At 43.6% G+C, this 16,244-nt stretch overlaps 1 protein-coding gene across 25 annotated transcripts in view, besides 3 other annotated features; it reads left to right on the forward strand.

Annotated features, from left to right (window-relative positions):
- The window catches only part of AUTS2 (activator of transcription and developmental regulator AUTS2), a 1,195,032-nt gene that overhangs the window by 805,498 nt on the left and 373,290 nt on the right, over nucleotides 1-16,244 (forward strand). The window lies entirely within an intron of this gene.
- Nucleotides 11,713-11,822: an enhancer, noted in NCBI's record as "active region_26109". NCBI's record gives its function as "activates an Ori minimal core promoter by ATAC-STARR-seq in GM12878 lymphoblastoid cells {active_cell/tissue: GM12878}" and the evidence as "EXISTENCE:reporter gene assay evidence [ECO:0000049][PMID:35858748]".
- Nucleotides 12,261-12,866: an enhancer, noted in NCBI's record as "H3K4me1 hESC enhancer chr7:69881219-69881824 (GRCh37/hg19 assembly coordinates)". NCBI's record gives its function as "activates a minimal SCP1, AML or CMV promoter by ChIP-STARR-seq in naive H9 embryonic stem cells {active_cell/tissue: H9 hESC(naive)}" and the evidence as "EXISTENCE:reporter gene assay evidence [ECO:0000049][PMID:30033119]".
- Nucleotides 12,867-13,470: an enhancer, noted in NCBI's record as "H3K4me1 hESC enhancer chr7:69881825-69882428 (GRCh37/hg19 assembly coordinates)". NCBI's record gives its function as "activates a minimal SCP1, AML or CMV promoter by ChIP-STARR-seq in naive H9 embryonic stem cells {active_cell/tissue: H9 hESC(naive)}" and the evidence as "EXISTENCE:reporter gene assay evidence [ECO:0000049][PMID:30033119]".

The following is a 16,244-nucleotide window of genomic DNA, read 5'->3' on the forward strand; positions in this document are numbered from 1 at the left end:
GAGTCCAGAAAGCTTGGTGACATGGATAACAGTATATTTTTAAGAAAAAGAGAATTTGAATGTCTTCTGCACACCTTATCCGTCCCTAATCTCCATATCTTCCATATGTATTTTTCTTGTTTTATAACACTGTCTAAGACTCGAGTGTAAAATCCATCATCCATCACCCAACCCTCACTTTTGAGTGGGCAGAGGGTGTTGTGGAGGTGACTGGAATTCATTGGGGTCATATCTAAGCATGAGTTAAGAGATCTATCTGGGACTTTGTCTTCTTTCATGTTTTTTCTTCCTTCTTTACAGTACACCGTCAATAGAGATTGCTGGCTTGTCATCCAGTTTCCTAAATTTCCTGACTTCTGCCTTGTCTGGCCTTTATTCCTGTCTATATCTCTCTGGCTTCAAGGTGATAAAAATGCTCACATTTTCTTAGGAAATATTCAGTTGTATTCTCTTTGTTGTGAAGGCTCCTTTGTCCACTCCGTCTCCTCCATTTAGGGGAGGTTTTCAGGGATAATTAGTGAACTCAGAGGGATATGATGTACCTTTTCAAATCAGGGTCTACTTCCAGTTTTTCAGGTTTGTTTTAAAGTGTGTGGCTCAGGCATAGAGAGCAGCGGTTATTTGGACACCTGGAGTTACTTGGCTTTGCTACCCACTACCTTTTAATGTGAAGATACCTCATTGCATTGCTCTGCATATGTGCAGAGGAAATTTGGGGGGACCCTGTTCACCTTTGGCATATCTTGATAGTTGTATGTGCCTGCTTGTTGTTGTTGTATATTGCTACAGCAATATGGCTCATCATCTTTCTACCTAAGAAGATACAGGGGAAAAGAAAACACTGCCATAATCAAAACTACAGAAATGGGTTTCATAAGCATTTTCTCTAACTACTGCGTCTACCCAGATCCAATAGGAATGGGAGGGCATTGGCATCGTTAGAAACCGGGGCAAAAGTTCCTGCTGCAATATAAAATCTATAGATTACGCTTGGAATCAGTGGAAACCATTGCCCTTTATGCCAGCTGCTTCCTGAAGGAGCCAAGAAAAGTGTATAGTTCAGGGGAAATGCAAATATAAGCTCCCTCCTACCTATAGCAGGAAATTAGAAACCTCTTTGGTTAGCACAAACAGATTATGATTTTTTTGCAAGAGAGAACAGGAGAGAGGAAAGATACTTGAGGTGGCATTGTATACCATAAAGCTATATTTATGTGCTAAGACAAGCAATTGATGTTGTTCTATAAAATATAGTAAACACCTCCTCCCTGCCCTTTTGAATGTCAGTCAGAATTCAGAATCATGAAATTTTATAGTATTACTGGTTAGAAGGGCTTCCCACTGGGAGCAGATGCCATCTCTGTCTTCATAGACTCAGAGAAAGTCCTGACATGTTTCATGGCGTTCGTACGTGGAAGTCTGTGAAATGGAAAGGAAAACAGCTTTTTCTGTCAACCTGTCACTGATACAAGCTTTTACATTCCATCAGAATGACTAAACTTTAAAGCTGTTTTCTTCAGTGCTGAGTATCTCTCAGAACTCCCAAGTGTTATCAGATTGATAGAGTCCCAGCATATGATAGAAGACCAAAGCATTTTGTGGCATGATATTAAAAATTCATTCAAATACTCGATAAAGCGTGGTTGACAAAAGTGTGAAATGGAATAAGGTAGAGTGAATTTCTTCATGGTTTATTGCCCTTGATTTCTCTCCACAAAATAAATAGACAGAATGGACTAAAATCTCTTCTTTATGAAGGTGGGATCCTGGCAGCTGAAGGCCTGCTCATAAAAATCCTCTCCGTGCCACATACCCTTGCAATGTTCAAAGTTGGAAGCAATGGAAATTTATTGCTGTTATATGTATTCATGTTTCAGACTGAGTGAATAGGTAGGGGATGCTTTTATGAGGTTGCTGAGACCCTGTGAAGAATAGAGAAATAAAACACACTTGTTTTTCCCTTGAAGCTTGTTTTTTTCTAGGGGGGATTGGTGATTTTAGTAATTATAGTGGTATTGGCAATTCATGGTGGTGGTGGCGGCCTGGTGGCAGTCCTCCCCCTGAAGGTATTTAAAAGAAAACACTCTTTTCACGGTCTCCCCTTCCTGCCTGCCATCTTGTTTTGAAAGAGAAGCATAAAATAGCAAATCTTTAAAGCCACTGCAAGCCAAGCCTGTGTTTTCATCTGTCTCCCTCCCTTGCCAGGCCTCCCTCTGCCTTTCTGACCTGCCACCCCCTTCCTTCCTTCTGTCCCTCCCTCCTCTCAGAGGACATGGGGAGTGAGAGGCTTCCCCCTGTTTCCCTGCAATGGTGGGACAGAATGCCTCATTGGTTTCAGATATTAACTTCTGTGCTGAAAACCCGGTTGGAGCTGGTGTGACAAATGGATTGTACCTGCTGCTGGAAAACACAGCCCTGTCCCACCCGCCTGCACACACAAGCCCTCTTCCCCATCTTGCAGAGCCCAACCTAGGGAGCAGGGAACAGAGAGCTGCCCCGCGGCACCATCTGTTTCTGCCAGCATCTATGTTGGGCCCCGCCGGTTACATCTGTTGAGAAGAACAGTGTACTTGATGAGTTGTTGGAAAGAAATGTTTAGTCTCCCCCATCATCTCTGTTAGCCATTACGAGGCTGCTGGGCTCACGTGGGTGTATCTATGTGTGCTTCCTCTCAGGCCTCATCTGTATCAATTGGAAATCAGTCACTGGGAGTTAGTTGCAGTCAGCAGGGACCCAAGGCATTTCCCAGTGACATCAATTCGTCTTCTCTTGCAGAAATTCAGGAAACAATTAAAATTCTGATGCGTTCCAGGGAGGATTTCAAATAAATCAGCCGATAGCTGATATCTTGTAACTCTTGGTAGCAAAGCAAAATTAACAACCCAGCCGCATCTGTGTACAGTATGCTAAAATAAAGAAATTAACCATGCATCACCTCCAATAGAGGAAGCAGCTGGCCTGTTCTCAACCTTCCCATAAGTACCCAAAACCTACTGATTTGTTAAGTTGTCATTCTCCTTATGGACATCAAGGACTTCCTGCATATGCCAAAAACTGAGCTGGCCAAATAATCGGTAAGTTGCGGAAAATCCAGGCACCGATTAAGCTCAGTTATAACTCCCATGTTATGCAGAGGAAAGCTGACATTTTGAGGCGGACCCAGTTGATAGCTGCTGAGGAGGTAATACAGGATGCAAGTAGGTTTGGCAGCAGGTTTAGCCAGAATTTTGTCAGAATTTGAAGATTTTGGAATCATAATCAGATAGCCAGTATTTTCTCTCTCCCCTCAAACCAAATGCATTGTGCAAGAACTTGTGTTAATTATCCCTGTTAATTACAGTGATACCACCTCAGCTTTTCCAGGCTCTTTTTTGCAGCTGTCTTTGTGGTGATTTCTTGTCTTACCACTTGCTGACCAATGGAACTCACCATTCTTGCTAGGTTCTCTTAAAAAGCAGCATAACAAGAACCGGTCGGGAGTATGTTCCCTTGAAAAATAAAAATCTCAGCATCACACCCAAGTAAAAGCCATGTGCCTTATTGAAGTTCTAAGTCTATAGTGTGTTTGTGTACATGCCCGTCACATAAAGTGATTGTTTATTAGTTTCAGTGGATTTTTTTCCTAGAAAGATGCATAAAATTTTAAAGTAAAAAGAATATAGTGAGCCAGGTGGGGTGGCCCACACCTGTAATCCCAGCACTTTGGGAGGCTAAGGTAGGAGGATTGCTTGAGCCCAGGAGTTCAAGACCGACCTGGGCAACAAAATGAGACCTCGTCTCTACAGAAAAGTCAAAAAATGGGCCGGGCGTGATGGCTCATGCCTGTAATCCTAGCACTTTGGGAGGCCAAGGCGGGCGGATCATGGGGTCAGGAGATCGAGACCATCCTGGCTAACACGGTGAAACCCCGTCTCTACTAAAAATACAAAAAATTAGCCAGGCGTGGTGGCAGGCGCCTGTAGTCCCAGCTACTCGGGAGGCTGAGATAGGAGAATGGCGTGAACCCGGGCGGCAGAGCTTGCAGTGGGCCGAGATCGCGCCACTGCACTCCAGCCTGGGCGACAGAGCGAGACTCCATCTCAAAAAAAAAAAAAAAAAAGTCAGAAAATGAGATGGGAGGATCGCTTGAGCCCAGGGTGTTGAGGCTACAGTGAATTGTAATCGCACCACTGCACTCCCACCTGGGTGACAGAGCGAGACCCTGTGGAAAAAAAAAAAAAAGAATACAGTGGCTGGAAAACAAAACATCACTTGAAAATTTTCCCACCTTTTAAATTCCCAGCACTGGGAAGGAAGGGGTCTGGTATGGTAGTGATCGTAGGGTCAGCTCAGGAAATGGTTCATAGGGTGAGCTCAGTGAGAATCACATTAGGATGAGAGGAAACTCTTAAGCAGAACCACAGTGGGGACATTCAAGAGTGGTGGAGAATGAATGCCATTCCTCTGCCTGTAAGAGGGCACATTATGAGAAAGGTCAAAGAAGTAAGGAATGGAGGAAGATAGGGAGGTCTAATCAGGGCAGAGAGAACAGGAAAGGGTCCACTTAACCCCTTAAAAACAGCAACTGTTGTCACCCATCTAGTGCTTACAGCACCTGGTGCATTCTGGGTGCTCAGCATACAATCCCTGATAATCATCACACTTTTGCCGACAAAGTACAGCCATAAATTACTTCCCCCACCACCTCCCCAGTCAGCAGGGAGCTGCTTGCTACAAATGAGTGAAAATATTCAGGTACTCTTACACCTAGAGATCATGGAGAGAAGTAGTTAGGAGCTGTGTACTATTGAGATAGGAAGCTCTTCCACACACCTTGCTGTGGGCTTCCTTTGCACGCTGCACTGGTTACATCAGACATGCTTTGTGCTCTGCAGCCTTCCTATTTAAACATTTGCCCTCAAAAACTTCACGACAAGCATATGAATTAGCAGTTTTTCCAACCTAAAGAGAATTATCTACTGTCTCTAGATGATTCTCAAAATATGCTGATAGCAATTTGAAGCATTATAAATCTATCCAGGTTGGTTCTGACCATGTTGTAGAAGTAATTTCAACTGGCACGTCACATGAAGGAACAGATTTGAAAACAGTGGTATGCATGCCCCTGAAGGTTTCATCTTGGCTAATGGTCTCACCACCTTATGGCACTACTTTGGATTGTGACAACGGTACCAAAGAAAATGTCTATAGTCTGGAAAAGATTTATCACTAAGTATGACTGTCTATCACTCTGGATGTACCCCCTTGTTATAAATCTCCAGCAAGACTGATCACTTGGTATACGTAAGCATGTAGGTACATGCATGTACAAGTCAGGAGTGTGCTGTGTACTTGTCTAGTATCACTTGGTGTATTAGTATATATATATATATGTGTGTGTGTGTATTTATGTATGTATAATAACTCATAGCAAATGTGTGGACATAGATGAGAATATAGGTTATTAGTTTGGAGAAAGACTTACCAGTTTGTGGACATTGTATATACAGAAATTCTCAAGATTTCTCACATGATGTGTGTGCATGTGGGCTTGTACATGTGTGTAGGTGTGCATTCCGACAGTGTCTTCCATGAGCGATGTAGGGTATTATTGACTTGAGGAAGCAATCACTGCTTACATGAGGAGGCGTGTCATCTTGACCAGCATTTAATGGGAGGGGAAAGCCTAACTCCGTAAAAACGCAACTGTTAAATCTTAACTGCCTTAGCCTTTCATTCTGAGCTGAGACGTTATACTAAAATTTCTAAAGCAGAGACATTGTTATTTTTCACGTATTATGCTAATAAAAATAGTGACTGGTGTGACTTAGTGATTGGAGAAAAGGGGCTTAGGACTGTAAATATTGGTAGACTTTCCTTTCGGTACACCTTTATAAGTTATCCATTTAATCTTAAAGGAAATTCAAATGCCAATTCAACTGGGAAATCAAACTCTGATGCAGGCAACTCAGGGACCTGTTCTCTGACCCACGCACTTGAACAGTGTTCACAGTGAGAACAGTTGAGTGCATTTAGAAGCTAGATCCACTTCAAGAAGTTAGCAGTAGGAAGCATTTCTTTTCCTGTTGGCTGGGATGTAGAGGGGTGTTAGAACTTTTTCCCTCTACTTTTGCAAGTATGTTTTAGGGAACTTTATAATTAGCTTTTGTGCATATTTTAATTATTTTTGCCCATCATCAGGTGGGATTAATTTTGACTGAGAGCAACAGTGTAGTGGTTGGTTTGTCTCATGTAAAAGGAAGGCTGGGCCTAGGCTGCAGCTCAGTGATGCTACTAGGAACTGAAGCACTTCCTATTACTGCTCTACCTCTTCCCCATGTAGAATGCAGTCATTACTTATGTTGCCTCACAGTCATAAGTTGAACTTCAGATTTCATATCTTAAATCTGGAAAGTACAAAAGGCTCTGTCTTAGGAGGGTTTGTCTTTTATTTATTTATTTATTTATTTATTTATTTATTTATTTATTTATTTCAAACAGAGTCTCTATCGCCCAGGCTGGAGTGCAGCAGTGCAATCACGGCTCACTGCACCCTTGATCTTCTGGGCTTGATTGAGCCTCCCACATCTGCCTCCAGAGTAGCTGAAACTATAGGCATGCACCACCACACCCGGCTAATTTTTGTATGCTTTGTAGAGACGGGTTTCGCCATGTCTCTCAGGCTGGTCTGAAACTCAGGCTCAAGTGATCCGCCCTCCTCAGCCTCCAAAAGTGCCAGGATTACAAGCGTGAGCCACTGCGCCTGGCTGGGTTTACCTTTTTATTCAGGTAAGGACAGTCTCTTCTGGGATTTGTAGCAATCATTGGCCAGAACTATATCAAATAGTCATCCCCTACATATGAAGGAACTAAGGAAATAAATTATTATTATTATTATTGTTATTATTATTATTATTATTATTATGTTTGAGATGGAGTTTCACTCTTGTCACCCAGGCTGGAGTGCAGTGGTGCGATCTTGGCTCACTGCAACCTCTGCCTCCCAGGTTCAAGTGATTTTCCTGCCTCAGCCTCCCAAGTAGCTGGGATTATAGGCACCCACCACCATGCCTGGCTAATTTTTTGTATTTTTAGTAGAAATGGGGTTTCACCATGTTGGGCAGGCTGGTCTCGAACTCCTGACCTCAGGTGATCCGCCCGCCTTGGCCTCCCAGAGTGCTGGGATTACAGGCACGAGCCACCGCACCCAGCCAGAAATCAATTATTTTTAATTAAACATATCACTGCCCTGAAAAAAAAATGGGATTCTCCTTAAAAAGGAAGAAGGGAGACGTGTACCTGTAAAAGAGCACTGCTGGATGATATATTCCCCTGGCCTCTGAAAATGCACAGTGGTCAGGCCAACCGGCTCATTTCTATTGCATGATATGCACAAATCACCATTGAACTTCAAAAAAATCCTAAAAGAGCAAGTCTCAAGACAGGTAAATCCACAGCCACAATTACTACTAAATGAGAACTTTTAGTTTGGAAACAAGCACCTAGAGAATGCCAAAAAGTCAATGTTCCTGCAGATACTAGAAGGGCACAGCATAGGTAAACACACTTTATCAAGTACTGTGATACTGGGATGTTGAAGCTTGCCTGGTCACATTTAAAAAAAAAAGTGTCATTTTAATCAGAAAAGTTTTAACATAACATACAGTCAACTTATAAAATTCATTACACCAAAAATAATATAGATACTACATATAATTAGAGTCAGATATTTTCACAGTGTTAATGGATGATTCCAATCCTCAGTCAACAGACAGTTATTGGGAACCTACTATGTGCTCACAGACCATAGGGGAATATAGACTATCTGAACAGATAACTATGACAACATGGCAGGTACTAAACTGGGATATGAACGAGGTGGTTTTGGGAAACAGGACAAAACAGCCAACGCTGCCAAGGATTGTTGATGAAGGAGTTTAAACTCTTTCCTTTTTTTTTTCCTTTTTTCTTTTTTTTTTTTTTTTGAGACAGTCTTGCTCTGTGAGCGATCTCAGCTCACTGCACCTCCACCTCGTGGGTTCAAGCAATTCTTCTGCCTTAGCCTCCCAAGTAGCTGGTATCACAGGCACCCACTACCATGCCCAGCTAATTTTTGTACTTTCAGTGGAGTTGAGGTTTCACCATGGTGGCCAGACTGGTCTTGAACTCCTGACCTCAAGTGATCCACCTGCCTCGGCCTCCCAAAGTGCTGGGATTACAGGTGTGAGCCACCATGCCCCGCCAAACTCTTTCCTTTGGTGTTTATATCCTAGAAGATAAATTTGGCCTTCAACAAACTATCCCTTGATAACCTTACCAGAATACCTGGGAGCAGACCAGGGTAGAAGTTCTTATATAGTCTTATGTTCTTATTTTTAGCTTCCAGGAAATTCAAGTTTGGGAAAGTAAAGAATGCCTGGATTGATACTAAGAGAATAAGTGAACTCCAGGTCTCAAAATTTTGCTAAGTAAATCCTTGTCAAGGATCTTCGTAGAGCAAGGAATCTAAGATGATTTATGCATCTGTAGAATAACACCATAATGAAGCTGTTAACCTAGCCAAAAGCTTTGGTGGACATGACACCTTAAAGGTGGCCATTATAAAGTGAGAGCCTCTGACAGCTTTTTCATGGTTTTAGATAAGTGGGTGTTTGAAATCATTCTGGCAGCTCACCAAATGTTTCTTTGCATCTTGACTACTGGATGAATCTTGACTACAAGTACAGATTTTATGTATACTTATTAAAATAATATAATTTGGCTGGGCGCAGTGGATCACACTTGTAATCCCAGCACTTTGGGAGGCTGAGGTGGGTGGATCATGGGGTCAGGAGTTCAAGACCAGCCTGAACAACATGGTGAAACCCTATCTCTACTAGAAATACAAAAATTAGCTGGCCATGCTGGCGTGCGCCTGTAATCCCAGCTATTCGGGAGGCTGAGGCGGGAGAATCGCTTGAACCCGGGGGTCAGAGGTCGCAGGAGCCGAGATTGCACCACTGCACTGCAGTCTGGGCGACAGAGTGAGACTCCATCCCAAAAAATTAAAAAATAATAAATAATAATATAATGTATGTCCCAGCCACCCCATGCCCTGTCTGGCACTACTGCCAGCACTGGGGAACTGGGAGGAGAGCTGAGGAACAGCTCCCCTTGTAGGCTCCTTTGTCTTCATTGATTGACATATCCAAGGAGTCCTGTTCCCAGCAGTGGTTCCAATATGAGCAAAAGCAAATCTTTGCTCATCTTCAAATAGCCTTGTGTATTTAAGTAACCAGAATGTTCCACATTTCTGAAATGACTATCTCACCTATCTAGAATATAAGTTATTCTAGGCAGGTGGCACCTGTGTCTTATTCCTCTATCCTAAAACAGAGGAGGGATTCAGTAAATGATTGCTGAAGGGGTCTACATTAGAGCCAAAGGTGGTCTGAGCAATCCAGCCTGTTTTAGGGACCTGGGTGAAAAGTCCTGGGGAGTCAGAAGCTCTGTGAAAACAAGTAGAGGGAAACAGAAAAGACAACAAAGGGGTGACAATGTTTCCTACTTTCCATTTGACAAAGAACCTGGGTGTATTGTAGTTAATATCCCTGGGGGGTTATCCTGAGAGATGACATAGAAGCTTGTTGTTTTTGGTATAAACCCGCAATGTCTTCTTATCTTCATTCCCCTTTCTCATTCCTCCTTAGAGTTACCTAAGCACAATTTCTTTTCTTGTTTTGTTTTGTTTTGTTTTGTTTTTTTGAGACAGGGTCTCACTTTGTCACCCAGGCTGGAGGGCAGTGGCGTGATCTCAGTTTACTGCAGCCTCTACCTCCTGAGCTCAAGCAATCCTCCTACTCAGCCTCAAGTAGCTGGGACTACAGGTATATACCACCATGCCCAGCTAATTTTTGTGTTTTTTGTAGAGACGGGATTTCACCATGTTGCCCAGGCTGGTCTTGAACTCCTAGGCTCAAGCAATATGCCCGCCTCGGCCTCCCAAAGCGCTGGGATTACAGGCATGAGCCACCATGCCTGGCCTCTCTTTAAACACTTTTTGCTTACACACTGCTTTTGGAATGAAAAGAACAAGGAGACTTCAGTCATATCCTCCTGGATTTGAATGCTAAGGAGCTGCGTAACATTTCTGAAATCTTCCCATGTTTATTAATAAGAGAATAATTCTACCTACCTTGTAGGGTTAAAGGTTGAGTACGATAGCATGGAAGAATTTGCCCAGCACCTAGTAGGCTGTCAGCGCCTGTTACCTTTCCTTTCCCCAATGCTCCCTAAAGCTAAGTTCATTGGCCCATCATGTAGAGTAATGGGTCCACAGGCGGTGAATTACTTGTGATGCTCTTCCAAGGACTGAATGAGGAGAGACATTTTAATCAAAGCACCAGCAAAGCTTTTGTAGCGATGAACATACAATTAGTGACCTTCTCCTATCAGGGATAATCAGCAGTGGGACTGGCAGAATTGGAATTTTTTTACATGGGTGATCTGGGCACAGATACTCAGTCAGCTCTGTGTCGCTTAGAACTGGGAGGCAGGAGGCATTTGCAGGTTGGTCACAAACTGGGTATCAGACATATTAAGCCTGCATTCATCTGACAGGCCTCCAGAACGTGATGTCAGGAGAGACGTTTAGCAGTGGGGAGACAATTATGAGACTCTCAGAGGTGAGAAAGAGGATTCTGCTCACTGCCTAGAAAGAGAGAATATGGCATTGGAAAGGGGGTGGTAAAATATGTTGCCTGACACACACCGAAAAGGCCTGTCAGTTACTGAGGTCCCATCGCCGTCTCAGGCTTAGACTGCATGAGAGGATCTATTTAGGGGAAAAAATGTATAGCTTAGCCCCAGTGGCTGCTGGGGTGAATCTCCAGGGCTCAAAGCACGAGTTACAGTTTGTCTTTAGTTTACTTAATAAGCTTCCTGGACTGTCTGATTTCTTTACAGCCTGGAACAGAGGGTAACAAGTCTCCCAGTGCAGTGGATCCAAAGTTGGTGGGCTTCAGTTTGGGAGCAAAGAGCTCACTGTTTGGGACTGGGTTGATGTCATCATTTTATGACAGCATATTAACACAGAGTAAATAGTTTATTCCCCAGGGTACTCACCCATTCCCTCAGAGGTGAGTGTCAACTCCTTCGAGAGAGGTCTGCTCACCTAACCTGCCAATTCTCAAAGAGCCCCACCTCAGGCATTCTCATAGCCTTTCTCTGGCCTTCGTAGGTCTTTGTCCCATTCCCCGATGATAATGCCTTCATGACAAAGATGAAATGAAGGTTGGGGGCAGCCTAGGCTGTAGTCCTGGTGCTGCACCACTAGCCGTAGAGCCTTGGCCAAGTCATGCCCCTCTCTGATTTTTTCATTATGTCAACTGGAAAATATAGTCAGACTGCCTGCCCTGCTTGCCTAACAGCACAGTCTGAAGCATGAGCTGATGGAATACATGTGTAAGCATATTGCATAGTTTGAGGAAGTATTCATGTATACAGTGGTGATATTAGACTTAAGATTTTCATTTTTTCATGAAATTGAAACTAGACCATCTGAAGTCATTGAAATAGGAAAAACACATACAGTATTTTAAATTAGTTCTACTCATGCAGACAAAAAAAAAGTGTCCTGGTACATCGTTGTTTAAGATCTGGTGATCTGTAGTGTTTGTCTACCAAGTGGCTACCGTAAGTGGCCTCCACTTGATAAGTTGTAACAAGATCACAGCAACCCCAACATCTCTGCCACTTTCTCTTTCTCTCTTCTGTTTTGGGTGGAGAGACATCTATATTGTGGCTGTCTCAGAGTTACGGGGAGAGCAAGTCAACGGTAACAGGGAAAAACAAGCCTTGTGTGGGTTGGACCAGACCATTTGTAAGGCTCTTGGGGCATTTGTGTGCACGCACACACAGACGTTAACCAGTCCAGAAATGAGTGTCATTCTCCTCACACAGCGCCGACAGCTGAGTTCTTCCCTGATATTTGCAGACCTCTCTGAAGCTTGACTTTGAAATCCTCTTTTCCTTGAACCCTACGTGTGAGAGAGAAGCCCTTCTTTGCCACTCAAGAGTGGTTCTGTGGTAACAGTGGCTCTGTGGATCTTTTGTCCCTGGCTGGCTCCTTCATATGTTATTGTAAGGTTTTAGTTTGTGCTGGCATGCAGGTGTGTTTTTTTCTCACTCAGATTTTCTCTTAGATGCTGTAATACAATCTATAATTTTTGGTACAGGAGCAAGTTTTTACAAAGGAAGATATGTGCAATTTGTCATTTTCCAGCCTGATGACATATAATTAAACCTTCAATAGTCTATGCCTTCAATAGCATAACTACAACAACCCATCACACTTTGGAAATAAATTTGTTTCATATTTTATATTATCTGGACTCTCTTTGTCCAGTGTGTAACAGGCCCCCAGGAAACAGGAAGTCCCCCACTAGTGAGCACCCCTAATGTGAATGACTGCACACTCAGCCTATTTTGGTGAGAACAGGCAGCTTGCTTTCGGTGGGCTCTTTTGAATGGGCCTTGCCCAAGCTCAATGCTCTCTCTCTCCTCTTGGCTTGTGGCACCTGGCCACAGTAGCAGGCATTGCCTGCTTGAAAAGAGGCTGTCCTTGGATTTTCCTGCCTCTTGGAACACAGAGCTTAATTCAGTTCCCTAACTCCGGGAAGAAGCAATGATCTTCAGCCCTATGAACCTGTCCGGCAACCCACAGCGGCCCACAAAATATGTTCTCTCGCCTACAACCTCATCCCAGCTGCTACCACAGCCCTGCCGACGCAGCGCCTGCTGCGGTCACGGTCCACTCCCAAGGGACACTGCCTTATGTCAGCAGGCCCTGTCTTGATTCCCAGGTGCTGGGAAGACATGATTGCAGCCTCCTGCACCCCTGCTCCCCTCCTCTGACACACACACTCTGAGCCTGCAAGGTACAGCAGCCCACTAAAGCTCTAGTTAAAAGTACCAAGTTGCTGGAATGCCCAGGGAAGTGAGAATGAGCGGGTCTCACACAGGGATGATTTGAAACAAGCCTTGTGGCTTTTTAATAATGTGCCAAAGCGGTCTCAGTGGTGGGCCAGCAGGGCCCCCAGTCTATCTTCTGTGAAAGGAGAAAGCCCAGCAGGCCCTGCCGAATGCAGACAGCCCCTCCACTCTGCTGGAGGAGACAGACTCCGAGATGGCAATCAAGGCTTGATTTGCCAACACATTTCCAATGATTAAAATGTAATTAGCACAACTGAGTGCCTCCTCCCCAGCTAATTTTAATACATGCTGTGACAGGCAGGCAGCCGGCTGTGCCTTTAGCCCAGCAGCAGATGGAGGCAGAGGCAGCGGGAGAGGAAAACCATTTTGCAATGTGACTATTCGCATCACAAAACCATCAGGGCGCTCAGCTCTTAGAAGGCCCTTGATGGCAGCACATCAAATTGGCGCTGTCATAGCTGACCGTGGCAATGGCAGTCATCCTTCATACTGTCCCAGAAGCACAGCGAGGCAATTTCCAGGCGTAACCCTTTAAGATCTAGAAGGGGAGAGAGAGACTTGGAGAGCACACTTGTCGTCTTGCAGTGACAGGCGAGAGCTTTGCAATGTGCGCTGTGAAACCCACGCTCTTGGCAGCTTGCAAACCGTTACTTACATGTTCCTTTTCCAAGGCACAGTGGAGTGTGGTTCAGAAGCTTTGGAAATAGCTGTTTCTCCAAATGGGAGACAGGCGTGAGCTGCCTTCTGTGTGCATTATCTGAACTGGGAAGGATGAGCTTTTCAGCCTGAGATGGTATGGCAGGTTGGAGGTTTCCTCTTCTATTCCATTCATCCCATAGAAGCCTTTGAGCCTGGGGCCTCTCATCATGACCATCTGCTTTTCTCCTATCCTGAAGGGCATGTCAGACAAGCTGCAAAGTCCAGAAGACCGTTTGCCTATGCTCCTGTTCTCTCACCTCCTGGCAGAAACACTGGGCCCTCACCACTGTTGTTTGGCCTGCCCTCTCCTTCCAAGGCACCACCTGAAAAGGAGGCAAGCTCCTTGGAGGCTAAGGATCATTTGGACCTCCCTGGGATTGGGGTGCACAGGATAATCACAGGGGGCACTTGTGATCTTTGGGATCTGTCACCCAGGCTTGGTGGCTAACTTTCTGTGTGTGTGTGTGTGTGTGTGTGTGTGTGTGTGTGTCTGTGTGTGTAGACGGGGTCTTACCATGTTGCCCCAGCTGATCTTGAACTCCAGGGCTTAAGGGATCCTCCCACCTCGGCCTCTCAAAGTGCTGGGATTACAGGCATGAGCCACTATGCATGGCCTGGTGGCTGACTGTCATAGAACACCAAAGCTAGACAAGCCTAAATAATAACAGTGACGATGCTAAGCATGTATTGGGCATTTACCATGGCTGAGAACTATGTTAAATCTCTTAAATGCATTAATTTTCTCACTTCATACCCACACAAACCTAGGGGCTCCATATTATTATTCCCATTTTACGGATGAGGAAGCAAAGTCACAGTAAGGTGCAGCCACTTTCCCAGCTTCTGCTGTTAAGTGGCAGAACCCAAATCCAAATACGTATCTTTCTAACTTGTGAGTGGGACAAAAAAGTCATAGCTGAGACATGCTGCACCACAGAGATGCTTCACCAGTGGAAGCCTCTGAGCAGAGAAATCCGATCTGAAAACAATGGGATTATTCTTTGCCATCTAATGGCCTCTGAAGATCAGCAGCCATGGGAACCTCCAGAACTCCATCACACGGGTGACGTTTACATGCCGTTGTGCATGTGTATCTTTTTCTCCTCTAACCGAAAAATAATATGTAATCGTTAAAGATCAAAAACGACAGTAAATGTAAAGATGAAAATAAAAGTGACCCAAACTCTTTATCACTCAGAAATAAACAGTGTTTGGTGCATTTTTTTCCAGTGTTTTTTTTTTCTTTCTGTGTGTATGCTTAGCAATTTTAAAGTAATATTGTATATATAACTCTATGTATCTTGTTTCCTTCATTGTAGTAGTAATAATAAAAGTAGCAGTTTTTAATGTATTTTCTCCTTACTGCTACCTTGAGAGGTAGTTACTATCACCCCCGTTTTATTGATTAAAAAAAGAAATTGAACCTGTGGGAGGGTATGTGACTCACCCAAGGTCACTTCAGTTAGGTTGGTGAAAAGTAATTCCAGTTTTTGCCATTACTTTTGCACCAACCTAATATGATTTTTTTTAAACTTCCCTATGACTGTGATCACTTTTCCATTTCAGCAAAATTCTTTATGAACTTTAATTTAATGAGTGAACACAACCCTGGCACCTTGACCTGTTCCCCAATTTGGTAACATTTAGGTTTATGAAGTCTGTGTACTAGGTTAGTGCAGAGAGTTAGAAACACCAGGATTCAAATGCCTGGATCTTCCTCTTATAGATTTATGACTCTTGACAAGTTGCTTCATGTCTTTAAGACTCCTTCTTTCACTGTAAAATTGGAAAACTAAAACCTACACACTGGGGGCTGGGGGGTGGGGGGAGTTTGCTGTAAGGTTAAAAACGTGAATATATGAAGAGTCTATCTTAGCAGATTTCGTGGCCCTTGCTATGTGCTGACAGTAGCCATATAAATAATGTATTATTGGGTCATTTCCTAATTCCATAATGAAATTTTTAAACAAATTATTATAGACATTTTTGTTCCTTTTTGAGACTAGTTGAGCTAGACAGTATGGAAAATATGAAGGCTCTTGATGCATGCTTCTCTTCTTCTGATGCAAATTGCAAAATTATTTTCCAAATAGAAATTGACATTCCTCCAGAAGTATATGAGTGTCTGCCTCACGACAGCCTTGCCAACACTGCATATCAGCATTTACATGTTTTTTTCTAATTTGATTGATGAAGAGAAATATATCTCTTTTTAATCTGCATTTCTTTGATTACTAGTGAGGTGGAACATTTTTTTCGTATGTTTATTAGCCATTTATATTTCCTCTTCCGTGAATTGACCTCTTTGCTTTTGAAAGGAAGGATGAGTCTCCAAGGGCTAGCTAGAGAAAAGATGCTCCAGTGATAATTATCTCAGAGCCCTGGGGTGAGGAGTTGCAGGGGAGAGAATTAAAGGTCTCCTGGGGCTATGAGGCGGCTACTAAGTGAGCGGCTTTCTACACCAGAGCGAGGCTTTCTACACAGTCAGCTTGAAATCAGTATTTGTTCTCTACCTTTGTATTTGTTCTGTTAAGAAATATTTTGGATTTTTTAGTGGGACTCTTCACATTCTACTCAAGCCAGCGCTTATAATT

The sequence above is a fragment of the Homo sapiens genome, chromosome 7 (assembly GCF_000001405.40).
Source record: "Homo sapiens chromosome 7, GRCh38.p14 Primary Assembly".
NCBI classification, from domain to species: domain Eukaryota; kingdom Metazoa; phylum Chordata; class Mammalia; order Primates; family Hominidae; genus Homo; species Homo sapiens.